Source organism: Homo sapiens, chromosome 7, assembly GCF_000001405.40.
Source record: "Homo sapiens chromosome 7, GRCh38.p14 Primary Assembly".
Taxonomy (NCBI): Eukaryota; Metazoa; Chordata; class Mammalia; order Primates; family Hominidae; genus Homo; species Homo sapiens.
Window position 1 is genome coordinate 132,238,590 of NC_000007.14, and position 18,062 is coordinate 132,256,651.

The 18,062-nt window shown below is 45.6% G+C and overlaps 1 protein-coding gene across 8 annotated transcripts in view, besides 2 other annotated features; it reads right to left on the minus strand.

The window, feature by feature from the left end:
* The window catches only part of PLXNA4 (plexin A4), a 525,349-nt gene that overhangs the window by 115,250 nt on the left and 392,037 nt on the right, over positions 1-18,062 (minus strand). For all 8 annotated transcript variants that reach the window (XR_927546.3, NM_001393897.1, XM_017012779.1 and 5 more), the window contains one exon: positions 2,477-2,577. Coding sequence is in view for 7 of the 8 variants with exons in the window: in NM_001393897.1 (NP_001380826.1) it covers positions 2,477-2,577 (101 nt within the window). In the remaining variant the exon portion in view is untranslated. The remainder of the gene's footprint in view (positions 1-2,476; positions 2,578-18,062) is intronic.
* Positions 12,359-12,876: an enhancer, noted in NCBI's record as "H3K4me1 hESC enhancer chr7:131935707-131936224 (GRCh37/hg19 assembly coordinates)". NCBI's record gives its function as "activates a minimal SCP1, AML or CMV promoter by ChIP-STARR-seq in naive H9 embryonic stem cells {active_cell/tissue: H9 hESC(naive)}" and the evidence as "EXISTENCE:reporter gene assay evidence [ECO:0000049][PMID:30033119]".
* Positions 12,877-13,392: an enhancer, noted in NCBI's record as "H3K4me1 hESC enhancer chr7:131936225-131936740 (GRCh37/hg19 assembly coordinates)". NCBI's record gives its function as "activates a minimal SCP1, AML or CMV promoter by ChIP-STARR-seq in naive H9 embryonic stem cells {active_cell/tissue: H9 hESC(naive)}" and the evidence as "EXISTENCE:reporter gene assay evidence [ECO:0000049][PMID:30033119]".

Below are 18,062 nucleotides of genomic sequence, written 5' to 3' on the forward strand. Positions count from 1 at the left end.
CCCTGCCTTCTGAGAGCCTGTGCTTAACAAGGGCTGGTGCTACATGGAAACACGAATAAGATATACAAGTGTCAGAATAAAACATGGTGCCAGACTAAAGGGGTGAGGAGGATCTAGCAGGAGTACCTGCCACTTAGACAAAGGCTGGGAACCCCCCAGGAAGAGAAGCATGCAGTTACAGTAGAGCCATCTGGAAAATCACCAGGGATCAACAGAGTCACAAGAGGGGGGGGGGCACCCATGAGCTCACAGTCCTTCCCCAGCCTTGTCAACATTCCTGCCCCACCCTACACTACATTTCCCAGTGATCCACAGCTCACCAGTCATTGGTCCTCATACCATCTCATTTGATTCCCCAGTGACTCAGTGAGGCAGGGGAGACAGGCATCACCATGTCCAATTCACAGAGGAAGAGCTGGGATGAGGAGTCTGCACTTGGGGGCAGGCGCCCAAAATTCATGTCCATGGCTGTTTTTATGCCATGCTGAGACTGGAGCAGCTGGCTTCCCCGTGCAGGCTGAGGGCCCCCTTCATGAACTGCCCAGACTTCACCTTGGCCTCCATCCACCCCTGTTTTCTTCCACTTGACAGGAGGCAGGTATGATGTTACAGAAGGGTAAACTGAGGCCATAAAGGAAGTACTGTCTTGTGCCTCCTCCTCTCATGTCTGCTTACCTTGCAGCCCTGGGGGTGGGAGGTGGGGGTTCTCACAGTCTCTCTGGTGCCTTCTCCAAGCCTTGGAGCCCCTCTGTTCACAGGGCTCCGTGCTCTGTGGGGCTGGGACAGCATTGTGGGCAGAGACCAAAGCTGACATGGAAATTGCCACTGGGCATGGAGTGTCAGGGAGGGACCAGATTTTCCGATTGCCTTTGAATTATGCCAGGTAGGAAAGCCCCATGCCAGGATCGCAGAGCTATCCTCAGCCAAGCAGAAAACAGGGTAGTCAAGGCCCCCAAGTAAGGCAATGAGTTTAGAGTACAGTCCCTTCCTCAGAGGCCTCACTGGGTGACACAAAGAAAACTGCCCCCTGTCTGCCTGGCAAGGTATCATTCAGGGAACAATTCTGGCCTGATCTGAGCCAATCTGCATTCTGAATGCAACCTCTGCCATCCTCTTCTATGCTGGCCACTCCTAGGCTCCCCTGCTCTGTTAGCATGCAACCTTTCTATACACTTGAGTGCACAGTTTCTGATCTGTCTGTGAGTTATGTATGTTTCAGACAAGACTGGGCACGTTCAGGGTGGCACGGCCATAGACTGAGTTATGTATACTTCAGTGTAGCTCAGTGGTTCTTGACTTTTTTCCACTGTAACCTACCTGAGGAATTTCAGACCTTCCCCTAAGGAACTCAAGGACTCACTATGCCTGAGACTGCCACCCAGAGATGTATTCGAGTTTAAGAGGGTGTTTCCGAATTTTAAGGGCACTCTTTGCAAAGGGGAGGGGAGAAGACAAGATCCTGCCCCACCTTCTTATACTTGAAAATTATTGGTAAATGTCATTGGTCACATGTAGTTCAGGTTCTTAGTAGGAAGACTAAGGTTTTTCTTCTTAATTTATAATGTCTGGATCCAGCTCACAAAGTGGCACATTTCAATTGTTGGCCAGAAACAACAATAGCTGGACTGGAATCAAATTTCATCAGAGTGAGGTCCAACCATTCGTTGGCTTCTCCAGGTATTGATGGCAAGGGTCTTCGGATCCCCAAAGAAAAGCCTTCAGCTTTCTGGTTGTCTGAGCCCTATTCCTGCCCTTTGGTTTATTTACTGTTTACCTCCACTATAATGCCATTGCCTTCTTCCCTCTTCTGAATAATAAAATGGAGCCACACAAAAGGAGGCACATTGGCAAGAGGCCAGCACTCAGGCCGGGCTTTATTGGCCCAGTGACTCCAGCCCAAGTGCACTCACAGCCAGCTAATGGGTGTTTGGCAGCAGTGGGAGGGTCCTCAGGTGCTACACACTTCAACTGCAGACCCAAACCAGAAAATCCTTTGGAGCTGTTGAAGTAGATGTTAAGGAGATGTGGAATCACTAAAGGGACAGCATATATCTTGTTTATGATTTCGGGGCCAGTAAGAAGCTACAGAAAAAAAGATCCAATGCCTTTTTCCTGGTGTTCAGTCCTGGAAAGTCAGTCTCTAGCCCAGTAAGCCACAGTCAGGAAAGTCCAGGAATCCTGCTTCCTCCAGCCCTCCAATGTATGATTGCCCAGCATGACAACTATATCCTGACCTGTCATGATTCCCATGCCACCGTTGCCATATATTTCTTAAGGGAATTTGGCAAATTTAAAGGGAAGTCAGAAAGAACAAAGGAAGGGAGATAACATTTGGAAAGGATGCAAGGAAGGAAGAGCAAGAATAGCTGAGGAGAAAAGACAGATCAAAGGGAAGGGCAGTGATGACAGAGAAGCAGAGGAAGGGAATTACCAGGAGGAAGTGGGAGGCACGAGGCAGCCTCCCCATGGTACTCACGTGTTGTGCAGCACACACCAGCCACAGTGGGGGTCGCCTGAGCCAAGGCACTCGCCGCAGCTCTGATACTGACCACAGGACTCCACAGGGACTCTGGTGAGCTAGGACAGCAGGATAGGGAGAAGGTGGTCAAGATTTTGCAGAACACCCAGCAGTGTACCAGAAGAGATGTTGCTCTAAATATCAAGTGTATCACCTGAAATGTTGCAGGAGCATGAAGGTGCTTGGAGCCCAGTGTGGGAAGGGAACTTGAGTGATTATGTTTGAGTAGGTGGCCACATATGCATCCAGGGAGACAAGCAGCCATATTATTTTCTTAGCAGTCTCCATGAATACAGACTCCATACAGTCCATACTAAGTTGTCAGAAAAGATATTTACACAGTGTTCATTTCAAGTTTTCTACCTCTGAAACCACCAAATATCTCTACAAATGGCCAATTCATCATGTATTTGTTTCCTATCAATGTAACAAGTGCAAATGGTCATTCTCACTCTCTCATGGTTTCTCTTTTTCTGTAGTGTTTCCCCTTCTTTCCAGTCCTCCTTCAAGTTTCGTCATTTTTGCTGCTCCAGAGAGCATTTAGTCTGAGACCAAGACCCTTCTCTTTCTCTTCCTCCTTGCCATTTACCAAGATATCATAAGCTCACTCTGTAGCTGTTACTTGCCCGCTCTTTCTTTCTCATAATGTTGGCCAACTGGCTCTAAAAGCTTTCACTATGGTGCTTTCAAAGAGCATCTGCTGCTATTTCTCCTCCTACCCACACTCTTTTCATGACTAGAGGCTTCCTCTCCAACCCAAAACTTTATATTAGCTTTCACCAGCCGCCTGCTAATGTAAAATGTTCCACATGACATTTTTGCTTAGCCCAAATGCTTCCATTTCCTACATGCTCTTAAATATCTTTTGAATTTCTTTGTTCTCCAATGTAGCTTTGCCTTGATGTCTCTTTACATAACTTGCCAGCACTTGCTACATAGTAGGTATTTAATAATGATACACTGGATCAAACGGAGTTTTTATTTTCTTTTTATAACCTTGGTCTTTATTCTCCGTTTTGCCGGTTTTTTTCTTTACAAAAAGTATTTTTTTTTTTTTAATTTTACATCATCCTCTTCCAGTTGGGATACCTTTTTATCTCAATGGAGAATCCTGCCTGATGTTTCAGCTTGAGCTAAGAGAATTTGATGTGGCCATCCTTTTAAATTTCTTGCCATCATACAACAGGCACAGAAAACTATAAACTGTGCTGACCTGGCTGAACCCTCTCTGTTACATGAGCAAATGCAGAGGCAGTGTTTCCCCTGCTGTTTTATGGGGCATGTGCCTCTGTAAAATGATGTCTGCTTGGCAGGGGCTACTTGTAACTCACGCACAGGCAAACTGGCACCAGAGCTTCTCAATTAGTCTCCAACTCTCTTTTGGAATTAATTAATAATTAATTCCAAATCCCACATGATCTCTTTTCCCTTAACTTTCTTATTCCCTTTATGCATCTTTTTGTTCTCCAAAGTACACACTGAGCGTTCTTAATGACCACACTGCGCTTTCACTTCTTTCAAGCAACCTTTTAGCTTACCTCTCCCATTCTGACGGCAGTGACCTTGACCTTGGTGGCCCTTCCTCCACCTTCTCAGATGTCTTTTTTGCACATTTGGAATTTTATCTTTTCTTTTATTACTGCTCATGTAATCTGCATGAGCCGTGCCTGGAGTCTGCCTACATATGACCTTCCTATCCTACTAATTAACCTTAACAATTAGTTCCTTACAAATTACCCACACTGGCTCCACACCAGCCAAGAATTTGCCCTCTTTCTGTTGCGTCTTTAATTTCTCTTCCTACTCCTTAAGTGAGCATAGACATGCTAGTCATGTAAGCATATAAATAGTGGCTCCTAACCCAAAGTACCTGGACTCCTAGTAATTCATGAGTGGTAATGAGGTCCACACGCTATTTTCAATATTTCCCAAAGCCTAATGGCAATTGAACTGTTGCTGTTTTATGTTTTTTATTCATACTCAGTGATGTATGTCTCATATTAAAAATAGGAAATATGTTATTACTTAATAAATGCAGTTTGTTTAGTAGACAGAATCTTTCAAAACATAATGCACAGAGGGAAAAAATAATAAAAGGGGCCATAAATGGTGAAAGTTGGGAAACATAAGTACACAATAATGTTTTCATATGTTCCAGCTGCTTGTCTAGCACTCCATATTTTGCATAGGCTTAAACAGAAAATCATGCCTTGCTCAATCAAAAGCATTTTCTCGCTCTAAACTTAATTACCATCCTCCTCAGTTTCTCCTATTGACAAGTTCTATAATCCACCTTGGATGGAATGTGGCTGCATGTTCTGGAATGTTCCACATCAAGTCAAGAGCCAGCTGCTTGGTGAATCTGAAATTCTCAAAAACCTTTGCATTCAGATTCTTAAAATATTTTGAAACTGGTGTTTAATAATGTCCATACCCTGGAATTGTCAAGTCCCTCCTCCTGATTTTAAACATGAGTCATTTTTTGTTGGGTTGGAAAGAATGCAAGAGCCCTCAGAGCTAGGTTCAAATTCTGGCTTAACATGGAGATAAAAATCCCTCCTCCCCACCCCCACCCCAATTCACAGTTTCCCAAAGCACAGATGATGCAATGGTTTTGTAAATGGTCTGGCACTTTATAAGTGACGGCTATGATGGATCGCTGCTATCCTTTTCATTAATATCCCAATCCTCCTTGTACTGTCACTTACCTCTCCCCGACATCCCAGAAAACTCCTCTGACAGTCTTCCAAGGCTTCAGGAACTCTGTCAGGAGTTCAACAGACCTGGGAGAACTTTTTTTTTTTAGTACCTTGATAGTGTCATTTCCTCCTTGAGCTATGATATTTGCCCCTAAGCCATTCATTGCTCCACACTTTGGATGAAACCTGGAGTTATCTCATTTCCAGGACTTATTCACTATCTTTATTAGCTTCTGGAACAGCTATCTGCTTTTCTTAGCTTTTCATTTAGGTGGGTCCATGTGAGACAGGGACACAAGTCCTGCACAGGTATTATGAGTCCTGGGTTCCAGCCACAGCTCTGCCCCCCAGTTTCCTGGGTAAACTTGGACAAGTCTCTCCTGGGCTTCTTTGTGATGATCTGAAAAATGAGGAACTGGGCGCGTTAGGTCTGAATTCCCTCTCAGTCCTAACATCCTAAGCTCCTTGTTAATGCTCTGACAAAGTCTCTCAGGTCAGCCTCATCTCACTTGTTTGGTTTTCATGGACATGTATAACAATGGCACCAGGTCTACCTTCAAGAAAACTTTCTCTTGAAGACAATCATCTGGGCAGCTAGAGCTTTCTCATCTTAAAGGTAAACAACCCAACTGCCTGTAGTCTTTCCTTACGGAATATTTCTATTTATGATTTAACCATTTTTTATGACTCTCTTCTGAACTTGATCTAGGTTCTCTCCACTCTTTTTAAAGTGTGGACATTCAAATTGGGGAGCCAACAGGATTCTGACAGTCCAAGTAGAAAGGTTACCATTATTTGAGAGCTAGGTGCCACCTCCTTCACCTTGCCAGGACCTTCCCAAGGAAGGACAGAACCAGGGAAATCTCCCAGGCCCCACCATCAGGCAATAGTCTCCAGCATGGCCAAGGCCTCCCAGACTGGCTGCACAGCTCTCCATCTCTATCATTGCTTTGCCTCACTCTGTACCCCATGGTTAATTCTGCAAAGCATCAGAAGTTTTTCTAATACTTTAAATCACTTTTGAAAACTGGATTTAGTCCAACCATTTAGCTTAGTATAAATGTATTCCCTTATGTCCCCAGTTACTATCCACACCTTGCTAGTATGTTGCACAGGTGGCCAGATGGCCTCTGAGCCACCTTGTCTCTATGATTCTCTTTCCCCAAATACCTAGACTTGCCACTCACAGCCTTACACCATACAAAGCTGCCTCTCCCATCCCCCAACTCCAGCTCCTCTCCTGACCCTGGAACACAAACCACTCCAGATGCAGAGCCACACGATTAATTAAAACCACCCCACGCTGATTAAAGTCTTAAGCTGCAGTGCCAGGCATGCTAATTAACTGAGTGAGGGAATTCAGACCACAGGAAGAGGTGAAAAAAGAAAGTAAGAGGGGCGGGGGAGGGACTTCTGTTTGGAGAACAAATCAGATGGTGACGTGACCTAAGCTGCCATAATGATAGATTGTCTCAGAGACCACAAAATATTGAGGTCTGTCCCCTGGCCACCAGACTCTAGCAAAGGTGTTGATTGATGTGGCTGCAACTTCACCTTCGCTGCTTCTAGAGATGGGAGCCCCATCACCTCTGGGGACCTCCATGTGTGCATAAACTGTGCTTGGGGAGAAGGATTGTGTGCAGGGTTAGGGTAGGGTCTGCACAACATTGTCTTGGGACATCGTCCTGGCTTTGTGCAAAAACCTATTAGGCAGTTTAGCAGTTCCTCAAAAAATTAAACAGAATTACTATACGATCTGGCAGTTTTGCTTCTGGGTACACCTGCAAAACAACCAAAAGCAGGATCTCAAAGAGACATTTGCACACTCAGGTTCATAGTGGAACTACTCACAATAGCCAAAAGATGGAAGCAACCCAAATATCCATCAACAGATGAATGGACAAACAATATGTGGTATATCCATACAATGGAATATTATTCAGCCTTAAAAAGGAAGGAAATTCTGACACATGCTACAACATGGATGAACCTCGAGGACATGATGCTAAGTGAAATAAGCCAGACATAAAAGGACAAATACTGCATGATTCTGCTTATGTGAGGTGCCTAGAGTAGTCAGATTCATAGTGACAGAAAGTAGTACGGTGGTTGCCAGGGACTAGGGAAGGGAGGAATAAGGAGTTACTCTTTAATGGGCAAAGACTTTCTGTTTGAGCAAATGAAAATGTTCAGAAGATGGAGGGTGGTGATGCTTGCACCACAATGTGAGTGTACTTACAAATGCACACTTAGAAATAATTAACACTGTGAATTTTTTTATGTGTATTTTACCACAATAAAAGAGTTGAAATAATCCTTTTGAGTGGACTTGACAAATTATTTCATCTTCGGCATGGCAGCATGGATATGAAAACACCTGTTCTCTGCTTAGCTCCTTGGGTCAAAGGGGAACGGCTTTTGCTGGTAGACTAATACAATCATCTTTATGAAATATTCTGATATCTTTCAGTCAAAAGATAGGTATCACTATTCTTTTCAACGTAATCTCAAATGGGTTTTGGATAAATGTCTCCTATCATGTATCATTACATAACTGGCTCTGTTGTTCTCAAGGTCTGGATACCTGTTTCCTGATTTGGAAAAATAATGCCATAGCCTTGTTCTTCCTGGAAATTTTCCTTACCTCTCACCCATTCCAAAAGGCCTAGACGAGGAGCTCTCAATTCAAATAACTCACAAGAGGTCAAATGGCCCCTGATTTTAGAAAATCCTCCTGCTGTTGCTCAAGCTCTCCTTTGGTATTTTTCATTCACAGTTATGGCCAGAAATCACTCATGTGCCCTTCCCCATTTACACTTCCTTTCCCCCTAGATCACCTTTCTGGGAATCTGGGTGGTTTTATCCTTTTGCCACCAAGGTAAGCTTCCTTAAATAATATAATGTAGTTTGGTCTGGTTTTAAATGATTGTAAATAGAATTATCATTTGCTGTTGTACATGCAATCATCATCATCATCATCATCATCATCATCATCATCATCCTCATCATCATCCTCATCACCATCTTCCTAACCTGTCCAGTTCCAAAGGCCACAAATTTACAAAACAATGGCCTAGCACAGCAAGGCAATGAATGACTGAAAAGAGAGCAAAGGGTCCCAAATCAGATTTTAAGTCATGGCCTTGGTCTTCATAAGTTTCTCCATCTGATGAGCTGAGCCCATTGCTTGGGGACCTGGGAGCCTGGGGGTCCTCCATGGCAGCTGGAGGAATTTTTACAGCTTCTGAGTCCTGGCCCCCATTGCCCAACTCCCACCTGGTTTCTCTGATATTTCGAAAGATGCTTTCCTCTGGCAATAGGGTCTCACTCTGCCTGTTGCTGCTCACATTCTGAAGGGTGCCTGCTGTTCTGCTGATTACATTCAGAAATGTTCCACAGATATAGCATGCAGTCTCTGTGTGTATCTCTAATTTGTTTAAGCATTTGACATTATGGTCAAAATGTGAGTTATTACTCCATTTCTACTCTTATAATTGGATGCTAATGCAACGATGGCTACACTGAGCCTGATGGTTGGAATTAATTTAAATGTCCAAAAGGTTTCTTAAGTACCCAATTTCCTTCAAAATTGTCAAAAAAGAAAGAAAAAAAGAGGCAAGATGACCCATTAAGAAACTCCAAGAGGCTGCTGGAGGAACTGTCAAGCTGTGCAGACGCTGCACTTGGTGCTGTACCTCATGCTGTCCTTCCTTGTCACTGTCCCCGAGCAGAGGAAGTAGAGTTGAGAAAAGTAAGTCCTTTTCTGGCAAATTCTTAGCTCAGTAATACACATGGGTCTTAGTGGCATGGTCTTGGGGAGCTCCTCAAAGCATCTCCACCCGCCTTCATCTCCTTTGGTCACCACTGGCTGCCTTTCCAAGCTTTATTTCTGCTGGCCAGGGACCACATAAAGGTTTTGTGGAGTCTCCCTGTGATGGCTCCAAGGCCCTCACTGCCAGGGCTGCAATTTGTGGTTGAGCAGTGGCTCAAGAAGCTGTGCTTATTTCAAGTCACTCCACATGCCTGGAACCCTGTCACTCCTATTCTCTTTGCTCAAAGGGGGCAGGTATTTCTGAACCTGGCTAACAGGTAAGAAAGGCAGATGCCAGAAGGCTGGTCCCAGGCTGTGGCAGATTGTATTATGAGTCCCAATTCTTCACTCCCTAAAAAGAAGACTTTTATGTCTCCACCCCTATGGCCTCATGGTGAATAGACAAGTGGTGTGTACTTCCCCACTTCTTGGCTTTGGGCATGGCCTCAGAACTCGATTGGCCAATGAATGGTAGGAAACACGAGGCAAATGAATGCTTCCGAAGTGCTTATGTGCTCATCTTTGCCTTCTGTGCTTCTGTCATTGCCATGAGAAGAGCTTCCCGAAATAGCTGTTTCCTCTTCAGCCTGGGCCCCAAATGAACCCACATGGAGAGAGACCTGAGCCCAAACCACAGCCAGGAGACAACCCTGGCTGATGCAGCAGCTTGAAGCAGAACTGCCCAGCTGAGTTGAGCTTAGGGAGCTGACATGCAATTGCTTTGCAGAGCCATGGGTGTGAGGATTCATGTCTATTGTATGCAAGTGAGTTTTGGGCTGGTTTGTTACAAAGCTTTATTGTGGCAATAGCTAGCTGATACACAGGTGCTGGACAGAAAGTTACACCAGGATGCAAAGGTCCCGTGAAAGGTAGAGGGGAGAGGTCAGTCAAATGGAGGAGGGGGAAGGTTGCAGTGTGGTAGCTTCTTACCACCCTGTGCTTCAAATAGGTCATGCAAACATTGATGGCGTATGTAACTTGTACAAGTTCAGAAATTATTGAAAGCCAGATCTAACGTGATAAATGGCCCTTCTCAGTACCTCCCACGCTGGCCATGCTCTTTTAATTCTATGGTCATAGATCTACAGATCTCAGGAAGGTCTAGCCCCTCAGCAAAGTACTAAAGAAGACTCTGGAAAGAGAATGCAGCCCTCCAGATGTGGTCAGCTGTCCAGAAGCAAAGATGTGCTTCAGACCCCTTGTACTGACCATCTGGCCACCCCAGTGTCAGAAAATGATTTTTTTTTTTCTACTTGGCAGCAGTAAAAACTCCTTGGGAATGATTTGCCTTGAGCTTTGCAATTCCTCCTGCTGGTGCTTGGGCCATGGGGCTAATCCAGCTGGGCCTCACTTGACGGCAGACAGAGGCACAGGGTCAAGGGCAGCAGCCTTGGCTACCACCACTGTCCCTACCTGCCTCTAGGCAGGACCTCTGGGGTCAAGGTTGATGATATTTAGAATAGCAAAGGCAACCGCCCCAGGGCATGAGGCTTGGGGAGCTGAGGTTCCAAGCTGTAATCTAATCTGTGTGTCTGGGTGACCTTGAACAAAATATTCCCATTTTTCATGCCTCACTGGATTCATTTTCAGATTAGGGGGATCCAGTCCTGCTCTGCCTTAAAGAATTGGTCACAAAATACTACCAATACAAATGATTTGGGAAGCTTCTTGTAAATGAAAAGTAGCAGATGTTGTGGAGGGCTGCAATTTGTTGCTATTAATAAGAATAAATGCCTAATAGGAAGCCAGTTTGCTCTGGGAACTCGGACAGCCAAGGAGCGAGTGCCGACGCCGGAATCATCAACATATGTTGGTCCTCATTAGCAAACGGCAGTAGCTGGGAAGCTGGGCAAGGAGCTCTCAGCGTGCTTTCTGCAGAGCGTCGAGAAATCACCCCATCCTCAGGCTTCCCAGTGTGGGCTGCGCTAAAATGGCACGTGATCGTTATTAGCCAGACCCCTTGCCAAGCGGGAGAGCGATCCCCTTCCCTGATGCACAGATGGAAAAGCCATAGCCCAGAGGGGCTGAGCAGCTTGCCCAAGGTCACGCAGCAGGGCGGTGGCAAAGGTGGAAATTGAAATGAAGTTGGGGGCTGGAGCCTGCCCTCGGGCCTGCCAGACACCACTGGCTCCCGGAACATAGTACAGGGGATTGAGAAACCTCTGGTCCCTCTGCTGAACACAGGTCCTGTGTTGAAAACTTCACAGCATTGCAGGCTACTTACTATACTGCCAGGAAGGTGTGGCTGAGTTCAGGGGCTGAGGAGCCCCACCTACGGGCAGATCACCAAGTAGCAGCCCTGAAGAGAGAATGACAATTGGTCTCAGCACAGCCTCCTCCTCCAGGAGGTTTTCTTACTCCTTCAAATGTGGTTAGGGAGAAAAATAGAGTTTGAAATAGTTTTATCTCAGGGACAAGTGAGAAGCAGAGATCTGAGAGAAAAACAGACCTGGGTTTGGATCCTGGATCTGCCACCACTGTGTGACTTGGACAACTTATTTAACTTCATCAAGCCTCTTTTTCCTCATCTAAGTACCCTGATGGGTTGTTTTGAAGAATAATTGGGATGACACATATGAATGTATTAGTGTTATGCTAATGGCAACTCTGTTGTTCCAGCCTCTGCCTCCGATAAAATGCCCCTGTGATGGGTGGTGCGAAGTCATCTCTCTTCACTCCACTATACCTAGTACTCAGCTCATGCGCAGTAAATGAGAAAAGTGAATGAATGCTTGCATGCACGCATAAATAAATAAGTGAATGAATGAATGTGGTTCCTATTACACTTGTACGTGTTCCAAGAATCCCCTGGAGATCATTTATTTGGCAACCTTGGCTCTACTCTAAAACCTATCATTTCTGGATTATTGCCACAGATTAATCTCTTAGTGTAAAGGTTAAATCCTCTCCTTTCTCTGAGCTCTCATGCTCACATTCACACACAGGCTCAGGAGGCCCGACTTCCTGACTTCCAGGGCTGCGGGGTTGCAATGTGTGAGATTCTCTAGCTAGGCAGATCCTATGCATTTGACAGAGGAGACTGCAGCCAGAGCAACCCCTCCAACATGGAGGCCCAAAGGAATGGGGGATGAGAGGAGTGTTCTGGCATTCACACAGTTAACAAGCTGAGAGGGACCTTGGAAACATTCTAGCTGCCAATCCTCTTATTTTTCAGATGAAGCTCAGTTGCTGCAGGGATTTGTCCAAGGCTACATGGCTACCAACACTCCTCATTTGATACCCAGTCCCTAGATACTGACTCCTGGCCAAAATGCTCATTCTTGACCCCATCTTAAGGTCAGGGCTGAAGCAGGGGCAGAGCCTCAGGGCCCCACATCCTGGAGAAAAATGAAAGTTTCCCTCCCCATCCCCAAGCCCAGCAGGTGGGAAGGGGCTGTTGTCCTGGGGATCAAAGTGCTGCTCCTGTTCCAGCCTTTTTTTTTTTTTTTTTGACTCTGTGTACATTGGGTATTTTATTAGAAACTTTCATGTTACTGCTACGTAAACACTGCTTCAAAATAATACATAAGTTAAAAACTTGTCAAGCAAGTTCTTCATCAGCTGTACTCCTAGAATTAAACACACATCACACACATACAAGTCACCAACCCCCACAAAATGTTTAATTTAACTGACCTTAAAATTTGGAGAAAAGTATCGGTTGGCTTATCTTTTAGCAAATGACACAGACAAAGACTATGGCCCCTTCTGAACTGGGACCGGGAACCTACTGTTGTGTGTTTCCCAAGCACAGCCTGCTCAATGGGAGCCTTTGTTTCTGCAGCCAAGAAGAAGGCGGGGAGGGGCTGGCACGGTGACACCTAACTCCTGGCCCAGGCAGCGGAGCCAAGCTAGTCCCCAGGCATATGCTGAGGCTCCCTAGCTGGCTGGCACTGGCTCCTTGTGGGAAGTGGCAGGGCAGGCTGGGCAGGCACTCCCTTCTCCATCTAGCACCTGACCCTTCTCTCTGACTTCCTTCTAGCAAGGGCTCTGCTGACCAGCGTTCCCAGCAATGCTCTGGCTGTTCAAACCACAAAAAAACAGTGTGTGTAAATGATACATTTTGTGAATGAGTGCACAGCAGCCCAAGGGGGTGTGCCCAGATGTGCATGTCTCAGCACAGGAGTAGCATTTGCACACACCTATGGGGGGCAGAAGTGTTCTGGACCACAGGAGACTGTGTGCAAATAAACACATCTTTCCTCGCAGGCAACCAAGGCTGGGTATGAGGCTTCTCTGGCTAGGAAACAAACATCTTTTTTCAAAAAGGGATTTGACTCTGGGAAAAGTTATGGTGCTCAAATGATTGGAAACTGATATTCCTGAAGGAGAACCTTCTAGGTTTATCAACATAGGGCCCCACTCTCAGAAGACCAGGTGCTGCTGGCTTAGAAAGGAGGCAGAGACGACAGATGACCCAAGGAATTCTAAATCATCTTCGTTTCACCCTATCTCCTGTCTCAAGGTACCCACCTAACTCTACTGAACTTATATGAGCTTCCATTGCAGGATCAGGGCCAAGCCTGCTGCTGGGGAAAGACAAAGAGGGCCCTCTGGTGTCTGGGTCATCCTGGACACAGGCAAAATGTATCTTCTTCAGTAAGAGATACAGCTTTGAGGGCATCTTCCAGTAATTCTTCAAATATGAAAGGACAATTGTTAAAATGACAGCATTCTAAAAGTTTTTTTTTTTTTTTTTTTTTTTTTTTTTTGAGATGGAGTCTCACTCTGTTGCCCAGGCTGGAGTGCAGTGGTGTGATTGTGGCTCACTGCAGCCTCTGCCTCCTGGGTTCAAGCGATTCTCCTGCCTCAGCCTACTGAGTAGCTGGGACTACAGGTGCACGCCACCACACCCAGCTAATTTTTGTATTTTTAATAGAGACAGGGTTTCACCAGGATGGTCTCAATCTTCTGACCTCGTGATCCACCTGCCTCAGCCTCCCAAAGTGCTGGGATTATAGGCGTGAGTCACCATGCCTGGCCTCTAAAAGGGTTTTATGCCTTATGCACTGTCGGTGAGTGTTTAGATTAGCACAACCATTTTGAGGAGTAATTTGGCAGTTATTACTAAAACCTAAAATGACCCAGAAAGTCTTCCTCTTGGAATCTTTCCTGCAGAAATACCAGCACCTAGACACCGGTGGTTGGCTGTGGATATTCACTGTGGCTTTGTATGTAGTAATGTCTGTTTGGAAACAACCTAAATATCCATCCACAGGGGGCTGGCTAAAAAAATCGTGGCACATCTACACTCTAAGATAATAGTCTGTATGTACTAAGATGGATGAATGTCTATGATTCATATTTGAGTTAAAAAAACAAATTTTATAAAAAGGGTATATTAAGACTCAATGTTTGTTTTCAAAAGACAACTGTGCAGCTGTGTATACATATATATGCAAACCTCGTGCAAAGAATAACTTCTAGAGAGAGAGTTACATATTTGCTAACAGTGGTTAACTTTGGAGAGTTTGAATTTTTCACAGACAGGGTATTATTGACTTGGGAAATTAAAATAATATTTTAAAGATGCTTTAACCTTTAGTCTTTTAAACTAAATTAACTGTGCAGCTCAAAATTTATTTTAGGGTGACAGCTTGAATTTTTCTTTTTTCTTTTTTTTTTTTTTTTTTTTTGAGATAGAGTCTCACTCTGTCACCCAGGCTGGAGTGCAGTGGCGCGATCTCAGCTCACTGCAACTTCTGCCTCCTAAGTTCAAGCAATTATCCCACCTCAGCCTCCTGAGTAGCTGAGACTACAGACACACACCACCATGCCAAGCTAATTTCTTTTTTGTACTTCTTTTTTGTAGAGATAGGAGTTCACCATGTTGGCCAAGCTGATCTTGAACTCCTGACCTCAAGGGATCTGACTGTCTTGACCTTCCACAGTGCTGGGATTACAGTCATGAGCCACCATGCCCAGCCCAACTTTTCTTTATACCCACAAGATTTCTAATATTCTGGAACTATGGAAAGGGCTCTTGTCTGCTTGGTCTCTCCCTCTTGGTTCACCTTCTGACCAGTAGCACCCTAGAAGTGAGCCCTGGGCCATGGGGGAGTTTTCTCCTTATAAAATTAACTATCCCATATTGGGTGGGAAAGTCATTGTTTGGCAATGCCTTATTCAGTGATGTCACCTGTCCGCCCAGAAGCTTCCTGCAGAAAACCCACACCAATTCCACCCAACATGGAGAAGACTCCATCTCTCCACAGAAATTACTGGGCAAGGACCAGGGCACCTCTGCCTACAGCCCCCATATGTGCAGACGCTATCACGCACTATGTGTGCATCAGTTTAGTTTCCATGTGGAGGAGTCATGGTGTGCTGGGACATCACTGGGCTGGGGGTCCTAGGACCTGGGCTGTAATCCTAGACCCGTTCCTTACTTCTGCAAGCCCTTAGCAATTGTCTTCATCTGTCTAGCTTTCAGTGTTCAACATAAATTGATCTCTATTGTCCTTTCAAGCCAGAAGATTCCATCATAACTAACTATCTTAAGGCTGGAAAAATCTCCAGGAGTGTCACTCCAGGATCTCCCTCAATTTTATTCTCATCTTGGTTACTTCATCTATCTGTATGATAGGGACCCTCAGCTCTGCCCTTTCCCTAGCTCTTGTGATCTCAAAAAAGTACAGTGATATCAATCTGAAATATACTTTGAATTCTAAGAAAGGAAATTGTCGCAACTTCTAATGATGAATTATGAAACCACTAGAGTTTACTGTGGCCATTTCTATCTATCATTAACATAAACAATTGTGAGGGTGAGTAAAGGGTTGTGTGCACATCCTTTCTGAGAGAATGGAGAGAGCACAGGCTTCTGAAGTCCTAGATTCAACTCCTGGCTCAGCCACTTATCAAAAATGTGTCTTTGAGCCTCGGTTTCCTCCTATGCATAAAGGGAGCAGTATTAGGTGACGATTAAATCCTGTTGTCAGTGCTCAGCAACGTCCCTTCTTGCCTTTCTCTGTGTGGGACTGGGAGGACAGTCAGGGGACCCAGCGGCGCTGTGCCAGCCTTCATGCTTTCTAGGCTGCAGACGTAATGCAGAGCTTCCCGCTTCCATCTGCCAGGAGCTGACCCCACCGGACTGTAGTAGTAGGCCAGTTGCTTTCCATTAGGAAGTTCGTTTTCAAGGGGTGAGTGGTGGTGGTGGTACGGATAATGCATCCATTTCACATTTTGCGCATCTGGGGAGTCTGATCTATATCCGACTAAGGCTCAGAATAGATTCCCCATTCCAAAATGAGAAATGGCTATTAGAGCTATATTTAGACTAGGGGTTCAGTGAGCTCAGAAATAATTGCTGGCCCTGGGGTGGAGATGGGGTAGGAGGAGGCTAATTCCAGGCTAATTTGGGCCCATTCTCAGGGGGGGTGGCCTGGGGGAAGGCCGGGAGTCTCAGCCACCCTATTTCTGTCCATTCAGGCCTCTGCTACAGCAACAGACAACCCCCAATACCAAAATGCCATTGCCTATGACAGACAAGCTCAGTAGATGGAGAACCTGGGAGAAGGATCTAAAAGTGTAGCAGCCCACAGGGAGGGGCAGCAGATAGGTGGAGGCTTTTAATAACTGAATGTTAGTCAGGAGTCTGTGGGTCACAGGGGACCTGGGACCTGCTGCTGCTGGGACCTGGGCTGTGCAGTCTGAGAGCTGATGCTTAGATCTTAACTCTGCCACTTAAGAGCTTGGTCAGGCGCACTCAACATTCTCAAGCCTCTGAAAGCTATGCAGATTAAATGACATAATACATGTAAAACACTCAACACAGTCCTAGACCATCCAAACCTAACACCCAGCATCTGTCCTTATAGGCACGACCACCATGGCCAACTCATCTTTTGGGTTTGCTTTTCCTGGGACAGACAACATTCACGTTAATGCAAAGTTCAATTTTAAAATTCAACTTTAAAGGTTTCCAGATGTGTCCCTGTGATTGCTGAATACTTCAGCCCTCAGTTACCATATATGTAAGTGCTGGAAAAGGAGTCAGAACTGAAGAGAACTTGTGATGGGATCTCACAGTCTTATTCCTAACCTGACCACTGACTCCACTGGGTGATGCCCTGTGATCCCCAGGCCTAAAGAACCCCTCCCTATCAATAGGGCTTTGGCCACACAGCACAGCCCCAGAACTTTCCAACCAGTTCCCTGTCTCTTTCTCTCCTCTCTTCAGCTATTCTGAGAGCTTTTGCTCTGCTCTTGAATTGCATAGGAAGGAAAAGAGGAAAACCCCAGCAAGTAAGTTTTATTGCCCCAGCACCTGGAAAAGTTAAGAAAAGACAGGGAACACTTCCAACTATCTGATGAAATGAGGTCAAGGTTATCTGTGTTCTTTATTTAATCAGGGTCTCCCCTGACCTCTGTGAACAAGCATAACCAAAAGCGTGCCCTGGGTCTGGGATAGGAAATCATGCTGGCTCCTAGCCAAGTACAAGAGGCCGTGCTGTGTGCCGGCATGTTGGGACATGAGTTGGCACGGCACGTCTGGAAGGCCAGGGTCAGGCAGTGAGGCCCAGCATGGTGGTATTTGGCACAGAATCCAGCAGCCCCTGCTGTGACAGGGACATGAGGATGCAGCCTCCAGACACAATTAAACATGGGGCATTTGCTGAGTTTGCAAACAAACCTGCAGGATACAGGGCTGAGGCAGCAGCAAGAAAACGGATGTGACAATTCAGGGCAGGTAGCATGCCATACGTGGAATTCATTTTCGAATGCTTTTCTCCTCCATTAAGCCTGCTTCGGATGTTGCTGGGAATATAGCTTAACCTGGACCAGGGTCTGGGGCAGAGTGGGGCTGGTTTGGGTTGTGTGCCTCCCCAGGCAAGTTCACCATGCCACCGTTTGCTGAGTTGTGGGCCACCCCTCAGGGATGCTCACAGTTTAAGGGGAGAATCAAGGCACTTACAAGGTGCTAAGGAGGAGGGAAAGGCAGGAATTTGGGGTCTAGGTTAATTGGCTCCAAACTTCACTGAGCAACAGAATCAACAGTAGATTCTGTTTTGCTGGATTTAAGATGCTGGTG